Source organism: Homo sapiens, chromosome 16 (assembly GCF_000001405.40).
Source record: "Homo sapiens chromosome 16, GRCh38.p14 Primary Assembly".
Lineage (NCBI taxonomy): Eukaryota > Metazoa > Chordata > Mammalia > Primates > Hominidae > Homo > Homo sapiens.
In genome coordinates this window covers 3,432,262-3,452,663 of record NC_000016.10, presented here as the reverse complement: position 1 = coordinate 3,452,663, position 20,402 = coordinate 3,432,262, and the positions used below count along the sequence as shown (strand labels likewise).

Below are 20,402 nucleotides of genomic sequence, written 5' to 3'. Positions count from 1 at the left end.
TTTTTTTTTTGAGACGGGGTCTTGCTCTGCCCCTCCGGCTGGAGTGTGACACAATCTTTGGCTCACTGCAACTTCTGCCTCCTGGGCTCAAGTGATTCTCGTGCCTCAGCTTCCTGAGTAGCTGGGACTACAGGCACCTGCCACCATGCCCGGTTAATTTTTTGTATTTTTAGTAGAGATAGAGTTTCGCCATGTTGCCCAGGCTGGTCTTGAATGCCTGAGCTCAGGCAATCTGCCCACCTCAGCCTCCCAAAGTGCTAGGATTACAGGCATAAGTAAAATTAGTTTTAATTAACCACATTTAACTTTGGAAACAAACCCTAGATTGCCTGCCAGAAAGTTTTACCAATTTATTCTCATACCAAGAGTGTGAAGACTCTACACCCACTACAGCAGGGCAAATGGCCCGCAGCCTCACCAACATAGGGAATTAGTCTTTTTTAATTTTTTTGAGACAAGGTCTCACTCTGTCATCCAAGTTGGAGTAAAGTGGCGTGATCACGGCTTACTGCAGCGTCAACCTCCTGGTCTCAAGTGATCCTCCCACCTCACCCTCCCCAGTAGCTGGGAGTACAGGCATGCGCCACCATACCTGGCTAATTTTTTATTTTTTGTAGAGGCAGAGTCTCACTATATTGCCCAGGCTGGTCTCGAACTCCTGGTGCAAGTGATCTGACCACCTTACCTCCCAAAGTGCTGGGATTCTGGGATTACTGGTGTGAGCCACCATGCTCATTTTTTTTTTTGAGACAGGGTCTTGCTCTGTCCCCCAGGCTGGAATGCAGTCGTGTGGTCTCAGCTCACTGCAATTTCTGCCTCCTGGGCTCAAGTGATTCCGCTGCCTTAGCCTCCCGAGTAGCTGGGAGTACAGGCGCCTACCACCAAGCCTCACTAGTTTTTGCATTTTTTGTAGAGACGAGGTTTTGTCATGTTGCCCAGGCTGGTCTCCAACTCCTGAGCTTAGGTGATCCACCCACCTTGGCCTCCCAAAGTGTTAGGATTACAGGTGTGAGCCACCACACCTGGCCAGGTATTATTCTTTACCTTTCTGCAATCTAACTGAAAAAGGTCTCATTGTTTTAATGCACATTTCTCAGTAAGTTTGATCACCTTTTCTATTTTTGAGGCATTTATATGTCATCTTTTATAATGAGTGTTACAGATGTATCTAACATATTTTGGTTTTGGTTTAACTTGGGGGAGTTTTCTGACAGTAAACATTTTTATTTTTAGAAGTAATGCATGCCTGTGGTAAATTATTTTAAAGCAAAACAAAAGGATACATTGGTGAAAAATAAGTTACCCTCCCTCCAACTCAGTACCCAAGTTCTCCAGCTAACTCATCTTACCATTTTCCTGGTATCCATTCAGAGATATTATTTACATGGACAAGTACTATATTTTCATAAATAAAAGGCGTGCAAGTGAAATGGAGGCTGGGCTTAGATACTGGATTCTTTTCATTTCTTCCTTCCCCATTCTGGGTACAAATGGTGACCAAGGAAATGTGTTATTACACACATCCTGCCTTTGAGGAGTTACGTGATTACAAGACAATCTGATAAGCACTGCAACAGAGGTGTTTGTTGTACAAACAACAATGGAGCTTCTAGAATGGAACAGAGTAAATGCATTATTTACTAAGTGTCTGCTATACGCTAAACACTGAGTTATAATCCCTCCTGCATGTTCTAATTGACTTCTAACTTACAATGCTTGTACTGTACATTCTAATTTACAATGGCCTTGAAAGTTCAGTATTGTTGTCCTCATTTTACAGATGATGAAACACCCACCCAAGGCTTCTATACCATGCAGAATGATGCCTCTCTCCACTGGCTGCCCTGAGCACATGCCATGAAGAATGAAAGCCAGGAGACAAAGGAACAAACTAGTTCATCATTAAAACCTGTATGCTTTCCCTTGGATCACAACTTTCTTTTTTTTTTTTTTTTTTTTTTTTTGAGACGGAGTCTCACTCTGTCGCCCAGGCTGGAGTGCAGTGGCACGATCTCGGCTCACTGCAAACTCCGCCTCCCGGGTTCACACCATTCTCCTGCCTCAGCCTCCCGAGTAGCTGGGACCACAGGTGCCCACCACCACGCTCGGCTAATTTTTTGTATTTTTAGTAGAGATGGGGTTTCACCATGTTAGCCAGGATGGTCTCGATCTCCTGACCTTGTGATCCGCCTGCCTCAGCCTCCCAAAGTGCTGGGATTACAGGCATGAGCCACTGCGCCCAGCAGGAGCACAACTTTCCTGACTCACCCAGAAAGAAATCCACAAGCTTCCAAAACCAGCCTTCCTAGGCAGACCCTGAGAACATTTTTCCCAGGGTCCCAGAAACAAATCATGAACAAACCACTTCATGGCAAGCCCTGTGGCTTGCTGACCAGCCTCTGCTCTGCCTGAGAGGCCTCCAGACCACCCCAGGAGCACTCCCAGAAGAGCAGAAAAGCTCCATGAGACTAGCACAAGGGACAGTGAATTATCCCAACTCATGGTTCTGAAGGGTTTATTAATGTATGCATGGATCAAAACCCTTTCAGTCAGGAGCCAAATATTTTGCTTCCAAATATTTTGCTTCCAAAGAAATTCTTCTTTAGTTCCTTCTTCTTCTTTTCTCTTTTTTTGAGACGATGTATTAGTCTGTTTTCACACTGCTGATAAAGACATACCTGAGACTGCGCAATTTACAAAAAAAAGAGGTTTAATGGACTTACAGTTCCACGTGGCTGGGGAGGCCTCACAATTACGGTGGAAGGTAAAAGGCATGTCTCACATGGTGGCAGACAAAAGAGGGCTTGTGCAGGGAAACTCCCCTTTTTAAAAACCATTAGATCTCGTGAGACTTATTCACTATCATGAGAACAGCATGGGAAAGACCTGCCCCACGATTCAATTACCTCCTACTGGGTCCCTCCCATAATATATGGGAATTGCAGATGAGATTTGGGTGGGGACACAGCCAAACCATATCAGATGGGGTCTCGCTCTGTCACCCAGGCTGGAGTGCAGTGGTGCGATCTCAGCTCACTGCAACCTCCATTTCCTGAGTTCAAGCAATTCTTCTTCCTTAGCCTCCCGAGTAGCTGGGACTACAGTTGGGCGCCACCATGCCTGGCTAAATTTTTCTTTTTTTTTCTGAGACAGAGTCTTGCTCTGTCGCCCAGTCTGGAGTACAGTGGTGTGATCTCGGCTCACTGCAACTGTCACCTCCCAGGTTCACACCATTCTCCTGCCTCAGCCTCCCAAGTAGCTGGGACTACAGGTGCCCACCACCACGCCCAGCTAATTTTTTGTATTTTTAGTAAAGATGGGGTTTCACCGTGTTAGCCAGGATGGTCTCGATCTCCTGACCTCATGATCCACCTGCCTTGGCCTCCCAAAGTGCTGGGATTACAGACGTGAGCCACCACGCCCAGCACACCCGGCTACATTTTTGTATTTTTTAGTAGAGATGGGGTTTCAACATGTTGGGCAGGCTGGTCTCGAACTCCTGACCTCCAGAGATCTACCCGCCTCACCTCCTAAAGTGCTGGGATTACAGGCGTGAGCCACTGCGCCCAGCCCTTTGGCTCCTTCTTTATGAGTAGATAATGAAAAATAAATTTTTAACAAAAGAAATTCTCCTTTGGTATAAAATGATGCAAGTGTGTAAGACGGATCACCACAGATGATACTGCTTCCTTTGATTAGAACCAAACCAGAGGTGGCACAGGATGACCACCACGTGGCTACACAGACCAATCTCAGAGGGTCAGGGCAGCACACTGGGAGAGTCTCGTTCTCCACTAACATTGTCAGTGTGCCCTGAGACTGGGCTTACCCATCAGACTCACAAGAGACTGATGCTTAAACCAAATCTTGTTTACTTCTTTATAGTTTAAAGAGGCTGGCATACTTGTACTGTATCCCTGTGTACCTAACGTAAGAATATACTCATTTACCCTCCTAGCAAAAAAGTGAAAGCATTTGTTTCACTAGGCGCCTTCTATCATTCAGTACTAAAAATTAAGAGAATATTTAATACTTGACAGGTCAAAAATGGATTTCACTTAAGTAGGCTTCCTCTGACTATGAGGGCATCATTAATAGCAGGACACAGAGCGCTTTGACTCACTCTCTGGAGCTCTTCTCCCAACTCAGGCTGGCTCCGCACTTCCTTCCTCCAGGTACAGCCTTTCTGTATGCTGCAGGGGAGAAAGACACAAGGCCATCACTTCACTCCTGGCCATCCCATCTCTACAACTCATAGGCTAATGAGTGTCAGACAAACCCTGGATCTCAGAGTATCAATCTGATGGGCCCTTTTGGGGAAAAATTAACTATCTAAACATGTAGTTCTCTAAACTACAAAGCAACCCATGTTTTTTTTTTTTTTTTTTTTGAGACAAGGTCTTGCTCTGTCATCCAAGCTGGAGTGCAGTGGCACAATGCTAGCTCACTGCAGCCTCGAACTCCTGGACTCAAGTGATTCTCTTGCTTCAGCCTCTAAAGTAGCTGGAATTATAGGTGTGAGTGACCACGCCCAGCCTCCAACCCATCCTTTCTTCTCTGTCCTCACTGTATCTAACCTGCATTCTCTGTACCTCTTACTACCCTCCAGGAGTCTTTGGTTGCAGCTTCTAGTAACGATAATTATTCAGTATGAGTAGGTCAAGAATCTTTCTCTGGAAGCACCTCTGCCTCAGTGACTGAAAAAGAATTCTGTTGGGAGTTAACACAGACCAAGCCAGTTTTTGGTAACAGAATTAACATGTTGAAGGTACGTTTAGAGCCCTGAGCTTTTTTCTAATTAAAAGACTCCTATTAGTTTCAACTCAAGGCTAAATGAAACTAAAAAGACTCCTATCCAGCTAGAAGTTGTGCTAATTTCAAAACTGTGTGAGCCTCTTGTTCTTGCAGGCATGACTTGCAGCCATTGTCCCCTTATAAGACTGGAGACTAGGTAGCAACAGTTTTCTAACTGCTCAATCAAGCATTCTGAACACCAGTAAGAAAACCTCTTGCTGAAGTTGGGAGAAAGATAATCTTGCTTACCTAGGCCCCCTTAGTGTAGGTGAGAAGGCTCTGTGTCAGTTTCCGATCAGTATCAACTTCCCATGAAGGATACGGTAAAGGCGGTAAGAACCAGAGCCATACTTATGTTTAAGTAATAGACCTTAAAAGGCAGTACCATCTGGGAATGGAAAACACACCAAACGTAGTGAGCAATTCATTCTGGAAATCATGTTAAACATCGCCAGGGAAGATACCCCATTTACCTTGAAGTGATTACACATTGCATGCCTGCATCAAAATATTTCATGTACCACATAAATATATACACCTACTATGTACCCATAAAAATTAAAAATATAACTACCACTACCATTTTAACGCATAGTCTTCAAAAGCAACTTTGTTATTGTTTTTGTTTCATAACCAATTTTACTCCCAAAAATGAGTATCTTTCCGTTTCAATATACAGCTGCATCATCATAAAAATCACTAGGGAAAAGATATATACTTAAGAATAGGGGCCGGGGGCAGGGGCTCACGCCTGTAATCCCAGCACTTTGGGAGGCCAAGGCGGGCAGATCACAAGGTCAGGAGTTCGAGACCAGCCTGGCCAATATGGGGAAAACCCGTCCTCTACTAAAAATACAAAAATTCGCCAGGTGTGGTGGTACGCACCTATAGTCCCAGCTACTCGGGAGGCTGAGCCAGAAGAATTGCTTGAACCTGGGAGATGGAGGTTGCAGTGAGCAGGCCAGGTGCGGTGGCTCATACCTGTAATCCCAGCACTTTGGGAGGCTGACATGGGCGGATCACTTGAGGCCAGGAGTTTGAGACCAGCCTGGCCAACATGGCAAAACTGCATCTCTACTAAAAATACAAAAATTAAATGGTTGTGGTGGCATCTGCCCATCATCTCATCTACTCTGGTAGCTGAGGCACAAGAATCACTTGAACCCAGGAGGCGGAAGTTGCAGTGAGCAGAGATCGCACCACTGCTCTCCAGCCTGGGCAACAGTGAGACTGTCTCAAAAAAAAAAAAACAAATAATAAAGAGTAAATAGTGGTGATCTCTGGGTGACAGGAATGTGTTGCCATTTTTTCCCCTGTATTTTCTTTTTTTTTTTTTTTTCAGACAGAGTCTCACTCTGTCACCCAGGCTGGAGTGCAGTGGTGTGATCTCGGCTCACTGCAAGCTCCGCCTCCCAGGTTCACGCCATTCTCCTGCCTCAGCCTCCCGAGTAGCTGGGACTACAGGTGCCCGCTACCACGCCTGGCTAATTTTTTGTATTTTTAGTATAGATGGGGTTTCATCGTGTTAGCCAGGATGGTCTCGATCTCCTGACCTTGTGATCTGCCCACCTCAGCCTCACAAAATGCTGGGATTACAGGCGTGAGCCACCGCACCCAGCCTTTCCTAACTTTCTGAAATGCACATATACTACTTTTGTAATGATGTTAGTTTTACTATTTTTAAAAAGATAATTTTCAGAGAAAGCAGATGCTGGGCTATAGAAATAATTTCAATACAAACAGGTTGTAGTTGTTATTACTGGTACCATGTTAAAGACAGAAATGGAAAAACTTGCAAAAGATTGTCGTGGAAGGATTTTTAAATTTTGATGATTAAAACATGTTACTTGAACATATAGTGGGTATACAGTCAAGCATTTGTGATTTTTTACAAAATTGAGTTAGGGATATAATGTGGTCTAATTTTTCAATCTTGGTCTATCTTGGACTTTGTATGTCATCTCTTTATTTTCAGGAAGATAAAGCTTTCAAGCTTCCTCCTTCTTTGTCCACTTGTTTATAGTTTTGATGGCTCTTAGGAAAGATAGTCTAGGGAAGATTTTTTCCTCTCCCATTTCAGGTATATCCCTCTCTCTCTGGTAATCCACTGAGTTAATACCACATGCTTCATTTCAAAGCATTGGAAACTGTGTTTATTTCTTTGTAATTATGGCAACAGGATTTAAAGAAGAGAGCCACGGGAGTCTCTTGTTCTTGGTGAAAGAGCCACAAATCCAGATAAGGAGAATCTCAGACCACAATGAGACAGTGCTGATGTAAGAATAGCATTAAATAGGCGGGGCGCGGTGGCTCACGCTTGTAATCCCAGCACTTTGGGAAGCCGAGGTGGATCATGAGGTCACGAGATCGAGACCATCCTGGCCAACATGATGAAACCCCATCTCTACTAAAAATACAAAAAAAAAAAATTAGCCGGACGTGGTGGCGGGCACCTGTAGTCCCAGCTACTCAGGAGGCTTAGGCAGGAGAATCATTTGAACCCCGGAGGCAGAGGTTGCAGTGAGTCAGGATTGTGCCACTGCACCCCAGTCTGGCTACAGAGTGAGACTGTCTCAAAAAAAAAAAAAAAAAAGAGATAAGCACAAACCAAGAAGGGAAAGATGACTACGTGAACACCACAGTGACTCAACCATGAACATCTCCTTTACTTACACCTTCATATACAGGCTATTAGCTCTTCTTCAACATATATGCTTTGGACTGGTCTAGCCTGTAGGCAAGTTTGTTCTTACCATTCTTCCACCTGTCCTGGAAGCACCTTTACTGGGACTTCACAGCTACCTCTTTTGTGATCCATCCCCACAAGGTCTAGCTCTTAGTTAGCTGTCAAGAGATATCATTTGTGGCAGATACTGCTAGTTTCTTATCTAACTTATTTTCCACATCTCTTTTTTTCATTTGTAACAAAGCCCTAATTTTGTGCAGGTAGATTATCAAGGGAGGCTAGGTCCTTCCCCTAGTGACAGGGGCTGAAGCATGATGGGCCCCAAACAATTATTTATTCTTGGTAATAACTAGTTTAGGATGGGTACATGACACAATACATGTCTGTATATTTTACCTGGATTCTATTGTCAACGTTACCAACATGCTTAGGGTGGCAGAGAAGCACTGGGACCTTGATGTTGTCACTGGGCCACCGAATTAACCAACCTGTAACTGCTCTTTGAACATCCTTTCGGTGGGTTTTCTGTTACTTGTAGCTGAAACTATCCTATCAGATATTCCACAAAATCACATTACCTAAGTTGTCAAATCTCCTAATATTGTTTTAATAACCATGCAGCCATTCATTAAGCTTTTAGATACAGGAATGTGCCTGGCACTGGAATAAGGAAATATGTTGAGACTTTTCAGGCTTTTCTATCAAGGTACCTATCATTTTCGTCTTTTTTTTTCCCCAAACACCTTTATAAACTGGCAATTTCTTTCACTTACATTATCTTATAATCTTTGAAATTACCCTCTGAGTTAGCCCAGAGAGGCACTCTGAGCTGTTTGCAGCTGAGGAAAGCAAAGTTGTAAACTGGCCAAGATTACCAACCAATCAGTGGCAGAGCTTGGGGAGGAGCTCAATTTTCCAATTCCAAATGCCTACACCAGGGCACTCCCTCCTCCCCCAGCACACAATAGGAAATGACTGGCTCTAGGGTAGGCTGCATGTGAGGTATCCGGGGGCGAACAACGTCCTGCGACGCTAACCTATGGCTCTATTCTCGCGTGGGATCCTGTGACTAGGAAGCTGAAGCAGCTCGCTTAGGCTGCAGCTGCGGGTACAATACGTAATGCCTCTATAACACTTTGAGTCAGAGTCCAGCAACCTGGCCTACACCGATGTGAACGTTGTGAACGTACACAAAGATACTCCTTCATGTTCCACGGCCCCACCATCCGCTCAAGACACAAAGGACAGCTCAAGCCCAGGCTAGGCCCGAACCCCCGCCCTCTCAATCACCTTGCTCTGGCCAGACCGAAATTTCAGGCCTACAGGGCACTGTTGGCCGAACCCACATTTTGTTACCGATTTTCTTTCGAGTTCCGGTGTCTCCCAGTCTTCTTTCTGTCCTTCTTCTCGGAAACATTACGTCCCCCTGGGGTCACCCTAAGACTCTACTTCAGCAGGCAAACAGGCCCGGAGCTCACGGAGGAGACCCCGCCAGCGGAAGCGGAAATGGTTGCTTAGAGAAAAGGAGGAAAACTACCTCTCGCAGCTGCCCAGTGGCTACAGGTCCTCGGTTAAGGTGTTCAATTGGTCAACACAAAAGAAGGACTTCCCCTTCGGGAGAACTTCGACCAATCAAAGGGCAGGATGGCGGAGAGGGCTGAGGGCGGGTCGCTTCCGGCGGCTTTTCCCGCAGCTCCTGCGTAAAGGAGCATGAGAGCGTGGGAGTTTTGCAGTGGCCGTGGCGTTCTTCGTCGCGTCTCGGTCGGGCGTCGCTTTCTGCAGCTCCTGTCAGGGAGCGCGAGGCCTGTTATTAACCGCGGAGCGGTAAGTGGGCCCCTTTCGAGGCCGGGCCAAGAGGAGGAGCAGTCGGCGTAGGTTTTTAAGGGGGGGTTCGGAGGGAATCGAGGGAGGCTAGGGGTAGTGGAGGAACTTGGCAGCGGAATTGGTCCCTTTAAGAACTGTTCTCTCCCCCCGCAGCTTTGTCACGAAGTCCCTGTGGCGTCTTGAAGAAGGCATTCCCCACCCGCCAAATGGCGTCCATGCCCCCGACGCCCGAGGCCCAGGTGAGTCGAGGTACCTTTTTCGTCCAAGTTTATTGCTGCTTTCGGTCTCTGCCTGACCCCCTCCTTTGGAGGAGAGTTGGGCATGCCTGTTGTGGTAGGAGTGCTCCTGAGCCCCAAATAGCCCTTTGACCAAGTGTTCTTCGTTCCAAGACCACACACATAATGGTTTACCAACTTCCTTCTTTCAGAACTACCAACTGGGAGCAGGGACCTGTGGAGGAATCTCTGAGAGAGTTTCTCAATGTCTTATCTGTTTGTTTTGTTTTGTTTGGAGATAGGGTCTGGCCTTGTCGCTGGAGTGTTGCTTGTCTGGCTGGAGTGCAGTGCTGATATCATAGCTCCGTCTGGAACTCAGGGAATCCTTACGCCTCAGCCTCTCGAGTATCTGAGAGGCGCGCATACCACAGTGTCTGGCTACTTTTAAAAGTTCTTTTTTTTTTTTTTTTGATACAGAGTCTCGCTCTGTCGCCCAGGCTGGAGTGCAGTGGCGCGATCTCGGCTCACTGCAAGCTCCGCCTCCCGGGTTCATGCCATTCTCCTGCCTCAGCCTCCCGAGTAGATGGGACTACAGGCGCCTGCCGCCACGCCCTGCTAATTTTTTGTATTTTTAGTAGAGACGGGGTTTCACCGTGTTAGCCAGGATGGTCTCAATCTCCTGACCTTGTGATCCGCCCGCCTCGGTCTCCCAAAGTGCTGGAATTACAGGTGTGAGCCACTGCGCCCGGCCTAAAACTTCTTTATGGAGATGGAGTCTTGCTGCTTTGCCAAGGAACTCCTGGCCTTCAGCTATCCTCCCACCTCGGCTCCCCAAAGTGCTAGGATTAAAAGTGACTTTCTGGAATGGTTCCCAAAATTACAGATTTGGTACTTCTCCAATTTGAATGAATTTTTAAATTAAGCACATTTCTAGACTCCACACTCGTTGAGTAATAATAAATCCCAAGTGATTAATTTATCACACCGTTAGAGAAGGTGGGGTAGGCCTGGATGAAGTGCTGGAGTGAGCTTAGCAATGAGTGTCATGGGGACGAGAGGAAATAGCAAAGGGAAGGATGTTGGGAGAATCCTGTAACCTTTATCTCTTTATGATTCTTCCTGGGCTGCCCAACTTTCTCCTTTTCTTTTCTTTTTTTTTTTTTTTTTGAGACAGTCTCGCTGCGACGCCTAGGCTGGAGTGCAATGGCGCGATCTCGGCTCACTGCAATCTCTGCCTCCTGGATTCAAACGATTCTCCTGGCCCAGCCTCCCAAGTAGCTGGGACTACAGGCGCATGCCACCACATCTGGCTAATTTCATTTTATTTTAATTTATTTTTTGAGACAGAGTTTTTTTTGTTGTTGTTTTGTTTTTGTTTTTGTTTTTGAGATGGAGTGTCGCTCTGTTGCCCAGGCTGGAGTGCAGTGGCACGATCTCAGCTCACTGCAAGCTCTGCTTGAGACGGAGTTTTACTCTTGTTGCCCAGGCTGGAGTGCAATGGTGCAATCTCGGCTTACTGCAACCTCTTTCTCCTAGGTTCAAATGATTCTCCTGCCTCAGCCTCCCAAGTAGCTGGGATTATAGGCATGCGCCACCACACCTGGCTAATTTTTTGTATTTAGTGCAGACAGAATTTCACCATGTTGGTCAGGCTGGTCTTGAACTCCTGACCTCAGGTGATCCACTCGCCTCCACCTTCCAAAGTGCTGGGGTTACAGGCGTGAGCCACTGTGCCCAGCCTTAATTTTTGTAATTTTAGTAGAGACAGGGTTTCACCATATTGGCCAGGCTGGTCTCGAACACCTGACCTCAAGTCATCTGCATCCCCCTCAGACTCCCAAAGTGTTGGGATTACAGGCATGAGCCACCACACCCGGCCCCAAACCTCTCCTTTTCTTAGAGCATCCTCACTTAATGGTTGCCTCCCTAAGAGCCATTCCCTCATCTTTTCTCTTTCAAGATAGACAATAATTCTCACAGTCCACCGTCCTTGTACCACTGCCTAAAAATGTATGTCCATGTTTACTCTCTTCTTCCCAACCCTCACCCCACCCCTTAGAACCCATTTGCCCTACTTCTGCGCTCAAGAACCTTTTACACCGAGCCTTTTATCCCGTGCATCTGATGTTTCTAGCTCTTTTCATCCTTCCTAGGTTAAGTGAGGGGCTGACCCTCCACCCTCTTGTGCTGACACAGGCTCTTGTGTTTCAGGGACCAATACTCTTTGAGGATCTGGCTGTGTATTTTTCTCAAGAGGAGTGCGTGACTCTGCACCCTGCCCAGAGGTCCCTCAGCAAAGATGGTACAAAAGAGTCTTTGGAGGATGCGGCTTTGATGGGTAAGGCAATTGTTTTTCCTGCATCTGGAACTTTTGTCAATTCTAGGAGGAGAACTTCATGCTTTATCCAGATGTTGGTATGGTGGAGTGGGACCTGTCCCTCAGTAATTTATGTGGAGGTGATAATTGTGTGAGAGAAAAAGTTTTAAAATATGAGATGATTTTTTTTTTTTGAGACAGACTCTCGCTCTGTTGCCCAGGCTGGAGTGCAGTGGCACGATCTCTGCTCACTGCAAACCGCGCCTCCCAGGTTCACGCCATTCTCCTGCCTCAGCCTCCCGAGTAGCTGGGACTACAGCCGCCTGCCACCATGCCCAGCTAATTTTTTGTATTTTTAGTAGAGACAGGGTTTCACCGTGTTAGCCAGGATGGTCTCAATCTCCTGACCTTGTGATCACCCGCCTCGGCCTCCCAAAGTGCTGGGATTACAGGCATGAGCCACTGAGCCCGGCCGAGATGATCTCTTAAAGACAAAAATTCAGTCTAGTACAGTGCCTGTGGTTTAGTACAAGAGATGGCAGTATTTGGTAATCTTTCACAAACATTTGTTGCAGTTTACAATTTTACTTGGGAAATCCCATTAGTATCGATCACTATCATTTGCTAAAGACTGGAGATTGATTTACTCTTAAGGGGTGCTATGCCTTACTCACCTAAGGGGAACCATACACAGATGGACTCCTGTGCCTGACTAGATTTTATTTCTGACTAGGATTGAGTATCTAAACTATCTATTCTAAGTAGTTATTCTAAATAGTTTGGAATAGTTGAGATACTCAATCCTAGTCAGAAAAAAATAACTAGAGTAACTAGTTATTCTGAATAACTCATATTTTGTTTCTTCCACTTCTCTCTTCATCATGTTCATGTTGTCTTCTGTCTGCGTAAATGTATGGAGTATATTTATAATGGTTATTTAAACTTTTTTTTCTTGCTAGTTTTAACATTGATGTCATTTCTGGGTCTGTTTCTATTGATTGATTTGTCTTCTAGTTATGGGTTATATTTTCTATATTTTCTTTACTTCCTGGGTAAATTTTGGTCGGATGTTAGATTAAGAATTTTATGTTGTTGGACCCGGGATTTCGTTGTATTTTTAAAAATATTTTGGACTTTGTTGTGGGAGGCAGTTAAGTTACTTGGAGTCAGTTTGACTGTTTCAAGGTGTGCTTTTTTTTTTTGCTTTGTTAGGATAGGTTCAGATCAACCTTTCTGCTAGGACTTATTTGAGTTACTGCTAAGGCAGTTTTTTTCTGTGGACGTTGCTGCTCAATGTCTTATGTCTTTCCACTTTGGCTGGAGGCAACATGAACTGGTTATTGCTCTGTTATTCCTTTTAGGTGGTTCTTTCCACGGCATTGGGTAGTTTCTTCATGCACTTGTAGATTACTACTCAGCCAAAGTTGTGGGGTTATTTTTTTTTTGATACAGTATCTTGATCTGTCACCCAGGCTGGAGTGCAGTGGCACAATCACGGCTCACTGCAGCCCTGACCTCCCAGGCTCAAGCAGTCCTCCCACCTCAGCCTCCCAAGTAGCTGGGACTACAGGCATGCACTACCATGCTTGTCTTTTTTTGTTGTTTTTTTTTTGTAGGGATGGGGCTTTGCCATGTTGCCCAGGCTGGTCTCGAGCTCCGTGGCTCAAGCAATTCTCCCACCTCAGCCTCCCAATGTGCTGGGATTACAGGTTTGAGCCACTGTACCTAGCCTCAGGAAAGTCTTAAGGGGACCCCATGTAGATGACCTGAGCTCTCTTTCTGAACAGCTGCCTCTTTGCTGTTTTGCTTTCAAATTCTAGCTGCCTTGGCATCCCTGATCTCTGAACTCAGTCCCCTCAAATCAGCAAAACCACTTGGTACTGTTTGGATTCCCATGAACTATACTGCAGCCCTTTCTAGTCAGTGAGTTGGGAAAACTGTAGAACTTTGTTTCTCTGGAAAGAAAAGTTCCTTTTGTATTGATATATTTGCTTTATAACTGAAGAATACTTGGAAAATATTACACAGGAATGTTAGTTTTGTCAGCCATTCTTGTAAGTAGATTGGCTGTTATTTTCATGCAGTACACACAGCCTTCTACCTTGATCTTTCCTCAGTGAGGAGTAAAGAGATTTTGGAGAGTTCTCCTGGTGATAATAAAACTATTTCTGATAACCCGTGTGTTTCTTTGTTATGGAAGAAAAATGCTCACTTGATTGCTTTTTTTTCTTTTTTCTTTTTTAATTATTATTATTATTTTTTTTTGAGACAGAGTCTTGCTCTGTCGCCCAGGCTGGAGTGCAGTGGCGCGATCTCGGCTCACTGCAAGCTCCGCCTCCTGGGTTCACGCCATTCTCCTGCCTCAGCCTCCCGAGTAGCTGGGACGACAGGCGCAGGCCACCACGCCCAGCTAATTTTCTGTATTTTTTTTTAGTAGAGATGGGGTTTCACCGTGTTAGCCAGGATGGTCTTGATCTCCTGATCTCGTGATCCACCCGCCTCGGCCTCCCAAAGTGCTGGGATCACAGGTGTGAGCCACCGTGCCCAGCCTCTTTTTAAAAATTATTTTCTTTCCCACTCATTCTTGCTGTCATCTTTTTTTTTTTTTTTTAAGAAACAAGTTCTGGCTCTGTCACCTAGGCTGGAGTGCAATGGCACATCTCAAACTCCTGAGCTCAAGTGATCCTCCTGTCTCAGCCTCCTGAGTATCTAGGACTATAGGCATGTGCCACCATGCCTGGCTAATTTTTAAAAATTATTTTTTGTACAGATGGGGTCTCACTGTGTTGCCCAGACTGGTCTCAAACTCCTAGCCTCAAGTGATGCTCCCACCTCAGCTTCCCAAAGTGCTGAGATTACAGACGTGAGACACTGCCCAACCCCTCTCTTTGTTGATAAATATGAATCCTAATCTTTTTTCCAATTGTTAATTGTTCTGCTGTCACTTGAGATAGCTTCAAAAATGAAAGGCTCTTGAGGCCTAAATAGATTAGATGGAAAAGTTCACCTCTAGATAGCTGCTACTGAGATTGTCCTTAGTACCTATCCCACTGGACTCTGACTTAGTTATAGCTATTCTCTCCTTACCTTTGGATATTCACCCAAAACTGGATCTTCTGGGAGGCCAGGAGAGTCTGCTTGGTCCTGATTTTGTGTGGTTAGTGTCTGGGTTATAGAATAACCCTTCTAAGGTTTCCTGGTCCTGTTTGTAACTACCTTAGCTTACTTTTTCCCCAGTATCCCTTGAAGATATTGTCTATGTTTTGCTTTCTTTTGTTTTTATCAACAGGAGAGGAAGGCAAGCCTGAGATTAATCAGCAGTTAAGCCTAGAGTCTATGGAACTTGACGAGCTTGCCTTAGAAAAGTACCCCATTGCTGCACCCCTTGTCCCTTACCCAGAAAAATCCTCTGAGGATGGAGTTGGAAACCCTGAAGCGAAAATATTAAGTGGAACTCCCACTTACAAGAGAAGGGTCATCAGCCTTTTAGTTACCATTGAAAACCACACCCCATTAGTAGAACTCTCTGAATATTTAGGAACCAACACACTTTCTGAAATTCTTGATTCTCCCTGGGAAGGAGCCAAAAATGTGTACAAATGTCCTGAGTGTGACCAAAACTTCAGCGATCATTCATACCTAGTTTTGCATCAGAAAATTCATTCAGGAGAGAAAAAACATAAATGTGGTGACTGTGGAAAGATCTTCAATCATAGAGCCAACCTGAGGACACACAGGAGAATCCATACTGGTGAGAAACCTTATAAGTGTGCCAAGTGCAGTGCCAGCTTTCGCCAGCACTCTCATCTATCCCGACACATGAATAGCCACGTAAAGGAGAAGCCCTATACATGTAGCATATGTGGTAGAGGTTTTATGTGGCTCCCAGGATTGGCACAGCATCAGAAAAGCCACAGTGCTGAAAACACCTACGAATCTACTAACTGTGATAAACATTTTAATGAGAAACCAAATCTTGCTTTGCCTGAGGAAACATTCGTATCAGGCCCCCAGTACCAGCACACTAAGTGCATGAAGAGCTTCAGGCAGTCCTTATATCCTGCCCTTTCCGAGAAGAGCCACGACGAGGACTCTGAACGCTGCAGCGATGATGGGGACAATTTCTTCTCATTCTCAAAATTCAAGCCCTTACAGTGTCCTGACTGTGACATGACCTTTCCTTGTTTCTCTGAGCTTATTTCCCATCAGAACATTCATACAGAGGAAAGGCCCCATAAGTGCAAAACATGCGAGGAAAGTTTTGCTTTGGACTCAGAACTTGCATGCCACCAGAAGAGCCACATGCTAGCGGAACCTTTTAAATGTACCGTGTGTGGGAAAACTTTCAAGTCGAATTTGCATCTCATTACTCATAAGCGAACTCACATAAAAAACACCACGTAAAGTAAATATAACAAATTGTTATTAGTGATTGGGCTTTTCAGTATCTGTATGGTGGGAAGCAGTTACTGTATATGTCCCAGGCAATGTGCTAAGCACTTTACACACATTCCCATGTAATACTTAATTCTCAGCACAACCGTGATTTAGGCAGTATCATTTCCATTTTATAAGTAGGGATGCAAAATCCGTGTCACTAAACTAGTGAATGAACCCAGGATTTGAACTCAGTTACTGTACAACTGTGAGCCAGAAGAAGATACACAACTTTTGTTTAAATTCAATTTTCATTAAAATGAAGGCTCTTGCTAAAGTTATTTTAATTTTGTTTACGTAGTTTCTGACTTTTAGAAGGAGGAGAATTTATTTATATTTTGCCAGTTCTGCAGACATATCTAGGAAAGTAAATGCTTTTATATGTTTTATACTTTTTTTTGCTATAACTATTTGAATGTAATACTTGTATAAGATTGCTGTTCTACATGTGAATTCCCACAGGCGTTCAGAAGTTTTTTTCTGCCCTGTAAAAGTTCCCAAATGGGTAGACTAGTTTATATTTTGATGGCCATTAGTATCCGGAGTTCTCTGTCATGGTTCTGATGCCAGGGGCACATACTGGCATTTAGGACCCAATTGTTTGCAAGGAGTTTTGGAAGTCTAACTGCAGCCCTTTTCTGGAGGCTGGACTTGACTTGGGGAGGGGGAGAAGTACTTGCTCTTTTCTAAGATTTGCCTCCAAATTGCTACTGAAGCACATTACCTGTCTTACTATGAATAATTGTAATTGTTTCTCAGTGAGCATGCTAGCTACTTTAGATATATTATGTAATTTAATCTTCAGAATCTGTGACAGAGAAAAAAAATCTTTGTTTCATAAACGAGGAAACTGAAGTCCTCAGAGGGTAAAGTCAGTTCTTTGCCCAGCACACAAATCACATTGTGGTGAAACTGACATTAAGCTTGGGTTTCTCTGACTCCAAAGGCCATGCAGTCTGCAAGACTGCGGCATTTGTTGGCATTTGCACCACGTAGTAGCACTGCAGGCAGCCAGGGAAAGGGGAGCTGAGATAGGTGAGGGTGGTCCTCATGGAGGCGATTCTGTGTGCTTGCATCCTGGAACCCCTTCATTCCCTTTGTGCTGTACCCAAAGCCTGACTAACATATACAGTTACAAAGCAGCAGAAGACTCTCCAGGACTTCAGGTTTGAATTCTTGTCCCTCTAATCAGATGAGAGATTTCACACTTGGCAGAGTACAATACTGAAGGTCTTAACTGGGTTTTGGTTTTTTAAAAAACACCCATAACATTTCCTCTCCATCTCCAAAGAAAATGCATATAGAAAATTGTTAGATTTTAACCAAAATACTTGATAATATATAGATCTTTAGATATTGCTATTATAGATAAATACTGGAGCAAAATATTATTAAATGGTATGGTTATTAATGTTAAAGAACCACAGAATGTTGTAAATATAGATTCATATACAATTTCTCATTAAAGTCGATTGTATGCCTATCAGCAAAACAATATTTACATGGGTTTTGATTAGGATGGAAGAATGCTCTCATTCTATTTAAATAGACAGTATAAAAGTACAATATTTGCTAAAATTGAATTGTTGCTGGGAATTTTTGCTGGGAGAAAAGATAAAGGACTCTTGAGGACTAATTATATGGAAGGTAGCAGAAGGTGGTCCTACAGAACAGCAGATTGAGGACTAAATATACAAAAAATGCTGGCTACTCAGCTAAGCTCTTATTACTGAGTAGAGGCAGGAAGATACTGTTCAGGTGAGAGAAAAACTGAAACTAACAAAAACATCCCTAACCCAGAGAGAGTTTCTCTCTCTTTGTCATTCTTGTCTTGTTTCTTGTTTGCAGATCCACAGTTGAGACAATGTGCTGCTCTGTATGTCAAGGTCAGACTTTGGCTGTTTGTTTCTGATGTCTCCACTCTTAGGAGACAGGACACCAGCTTCCAGGTTTCTCTGAGGTGCTTTGAAATGTGTAGAAAGATAGTCTCCAGTTAGATTACTTATTAGGCAACTCTGAGATACCATGACCTTTGTTAAATAACAAGAACACCACCTCCTTGCTCTCCTGCTTCTGCCCTCAGTGGGAGAAACTGGCAGGAGCCTCATCAGCACATATCAGGGGCCCTAAGAGTTCAGTCAAAGATCTAATGAGTCACAGGATGGGGGATGAAATTGGGAAAGGTCTGGATTAGCAGAGTTGCTGCAGAAAGAAGTAGAGGGGAATATCTTAGAAGGCACTTGGACAGAATGGGGGTGATATAAAAGATGTATGCTGTCATTTTTGTTTTGGCTCCTAGAAAATATAGCAGAAAGTGAGAATTTGTGCCATACATCCTGTTCTGCACCTTAATATGGAAGTTTGCCTTTCCACACGAGTCTTCCTTCACAATTAACCTCTAATTTTTTTTTTTGCAGTTTTCTCCAGATTTTGGAAGATTACGACAAACTTCCTAAAAGATTAGAAAAAATAGCCCTTTTCAGAAACATTAACATACGTGTGGGTAGAACTAAAATGGCTTTTTGGTATAATACTGTTAATGATTAGTATGCAGAAAAAAATGAAAACCCCGGAAGTGTCAGTTACTGTGAAAGAGGCATATTTTCAGTTGTGCTTATTGTGCAGTTGTACTTAAATACATTTGCTAGATGTAATTCAAGCTGCTTTACCCCCAGGGAATTGAAGGAAAAGATATATCTGCTGGTGAGCTTCAGGCTTTTTATGATGATGGCATTTCACCCTTCTGTTTACAGTGTCAACTGATGGAGATAAATTCCATAAAATTGTCATTAACTCAGATACTAGCCTTCCATGTTAGGTGCTATTCACAAATACTGGATAAAAGTTAATATGGGAATGAAAAACTAAATGCAAGAGTTTATTGCTATGAATGATTGGTTAACTGCATTTTGCAGCATGGAAATCAACACACTATGAGAGTGAAAACTTTGTGCTGAATAAATTGACTCAGACAAATTTCTCCGTTTTTGTCGTTGATGCAGTGATGAAAATGTATATCCAACAGTTCCTTAACATGATTGCTGGAATAGTTAAACAGTCTTTTAAACAGTCGTCATTGATGAAAACAGCATTTTTCCAATGGAATTCAGATGTCAGCAGTTTACATTTTATAATTTAAGAAATTGTGGAATGTAGTTGTTTTGAATGAGGTCGACTCAGAATAGTTTTATTTAGAGCTTTGTTGCTACAGGTGGTAGTCTATTGACACCTCCTCATTTAACATAGAAAATGACTAACCCAATAATTCAGGGAGTTAAAACTCAAATGACATTTCACAGCAAATGCCATTTTGAGTCTTTGCCTCCTGAGTTTCCATATAATTAAGTGGCAATGTTCTAGTGACTGCAGCATAAGATGTCATACAATCTGAAACTGCAGAGTTTGATCAAAGTAATCTGCAATTTACTGCCTATGTGTACAAAGGGAGACATAGCAGGTTATAGTTTATATGAATAGTCTATTTTGAATGTTCATTAAACTTGTTATCCCTGTGGGATTTTAGTAGGAAAGTGTATTTGCTTTGACCATCTGTTTAACAAAATGATGTTCATTACATTAGAAGTGTATGTATTCATCTGGTTTAGTTTTGTAATTTAGAAGAGCTATTGATCTGATTCAAAGATAACCATTACCCATCTTTCCAAGGCCCATCTAAGTAGTACAGGTGTTTTGTCTTTTAAAATTGACAGTCCTCTTTGCATTAAGTCTGTAGGGGGGGAATACAATATAAATATTCTTCTGTGTAAACGTAAGAATGTGCTGTAATCTCCAGTTCCTTTGGATACCTCAGAATTCTATTTATTGTATACACTTATACTGTTTATTCAATGTTTTGGGTCTTACTCTTTTTGACGTATTCTCATCAGTCTTCACTCTAGTTTGCAAGCTCTGAAGTTATTGATTACGTCTAATGTGCAATTTGGCTTCTATTAAATGCTATTTTATGATGATGGCAATGAAGTGAACTTTTTAAAAAAAATACGTGGTTTTAGGTGGCAATCAGGTTAATTTTGAAGACTGTTAGGATTCTGGTTTAGAGACAGAGAGTGAAGGACTTCGTGCTACTTAATAAGGGAAGTAAAATCGCTTGCTCCCTGGAACTCAGCAG

At 43.6% G+C, this 20,402-nt stretch overlaps 2 protein-coding genes across 3 annotated transcripts in view, besides 1 other annotated feature; one reads left to right on the top strand and one right to left on the bottom strand.

Annotated features, from left to right (window-relative positions):
* The window catches only part of NAA60 (N-alpha-acetyltransferase 60, NatF catalytic subunit), a 43,353-nt gene extending 34,300 nt beyond the window's left edge, over positions 1-9,053 (bottom strand). The window contains exons 1-2 of one of the 2 annotated variants that reach the window (NM_001317093.1): positions 8,837-9,053; positions 4,124-4,193 (exon numbers count right to left, since the gene is read on the bottom strand). In NM_001317093.1, the coding sequence (NP_001304022.1) occupies positions 4,124-4,193; positions 8,837-8,897 (131 nt within the window). In that variant the 5' untranslated portion in view covers positions 8,898-9,053. Of the gene's footprint in view, positions 1-4,123; positions 4,194-8,826 lie in introns of both variants that reach the window. The other variant, NM_001083601.3, reaches the window with a different exon arrangement.
* Positions 8,751-8,900: an enhancer, noted in NCBI's record as "active region_10322". NCBI's record gives its function as "activates an Ori minimal core promoter by ATAC-STARR-seq in GM12878 lymphoblastoid cells {active_cell/tissue: GM12878}" and the evidence as "EXISTENCE:reporter gene assay evidence [ECO:0000049][PMID:35858748]".
* Positions 9,160-20,250, top strand: ZNF597 (zinc finger protein 597). The gene is made up of 4 exons (NM_152457.3): positions 9,160-9,304; positions 9,458-9,543; positions 11,731-11,857; positions 15,126-20,250. The coding sequence occupies exons 2-4, from the start codon at positions 9,511-9,513 to the stop codon at positions 16,238-16,240; spliced, it is 1,275 nt and encodes a 424-aa protein (NP_689670.1). The 5' UTR covers positions 9,160-9,304; positions 9,458-9,510; the 3' UTR covers positions 16,241-20,250.

Excerpts from the sequence above, each read along its gene's own strand:
- ZNF597 (NM_152457.3), top strand. The coding sequence starts at position 9,511 with ATGGCGTCCATGCCCCCGACGCCCGAGGCCCAG. Across the intron at positions 9,544-11,730 it reads CCCCGACGCCCGAGGCCCAG|GGACCAATACTCTTTGAGGA; the intron begins GTGAGTCGAGGT and ends CTTGTGTTTCAG. Across the intron at positions 11,858-15,125 it reads GGAGGATGCGGCTTTGATGG|GAGAGGAAGGCAAGCCTGAG; the intron begins GTAAGGCAATTG and ends TTTTATCAACAG.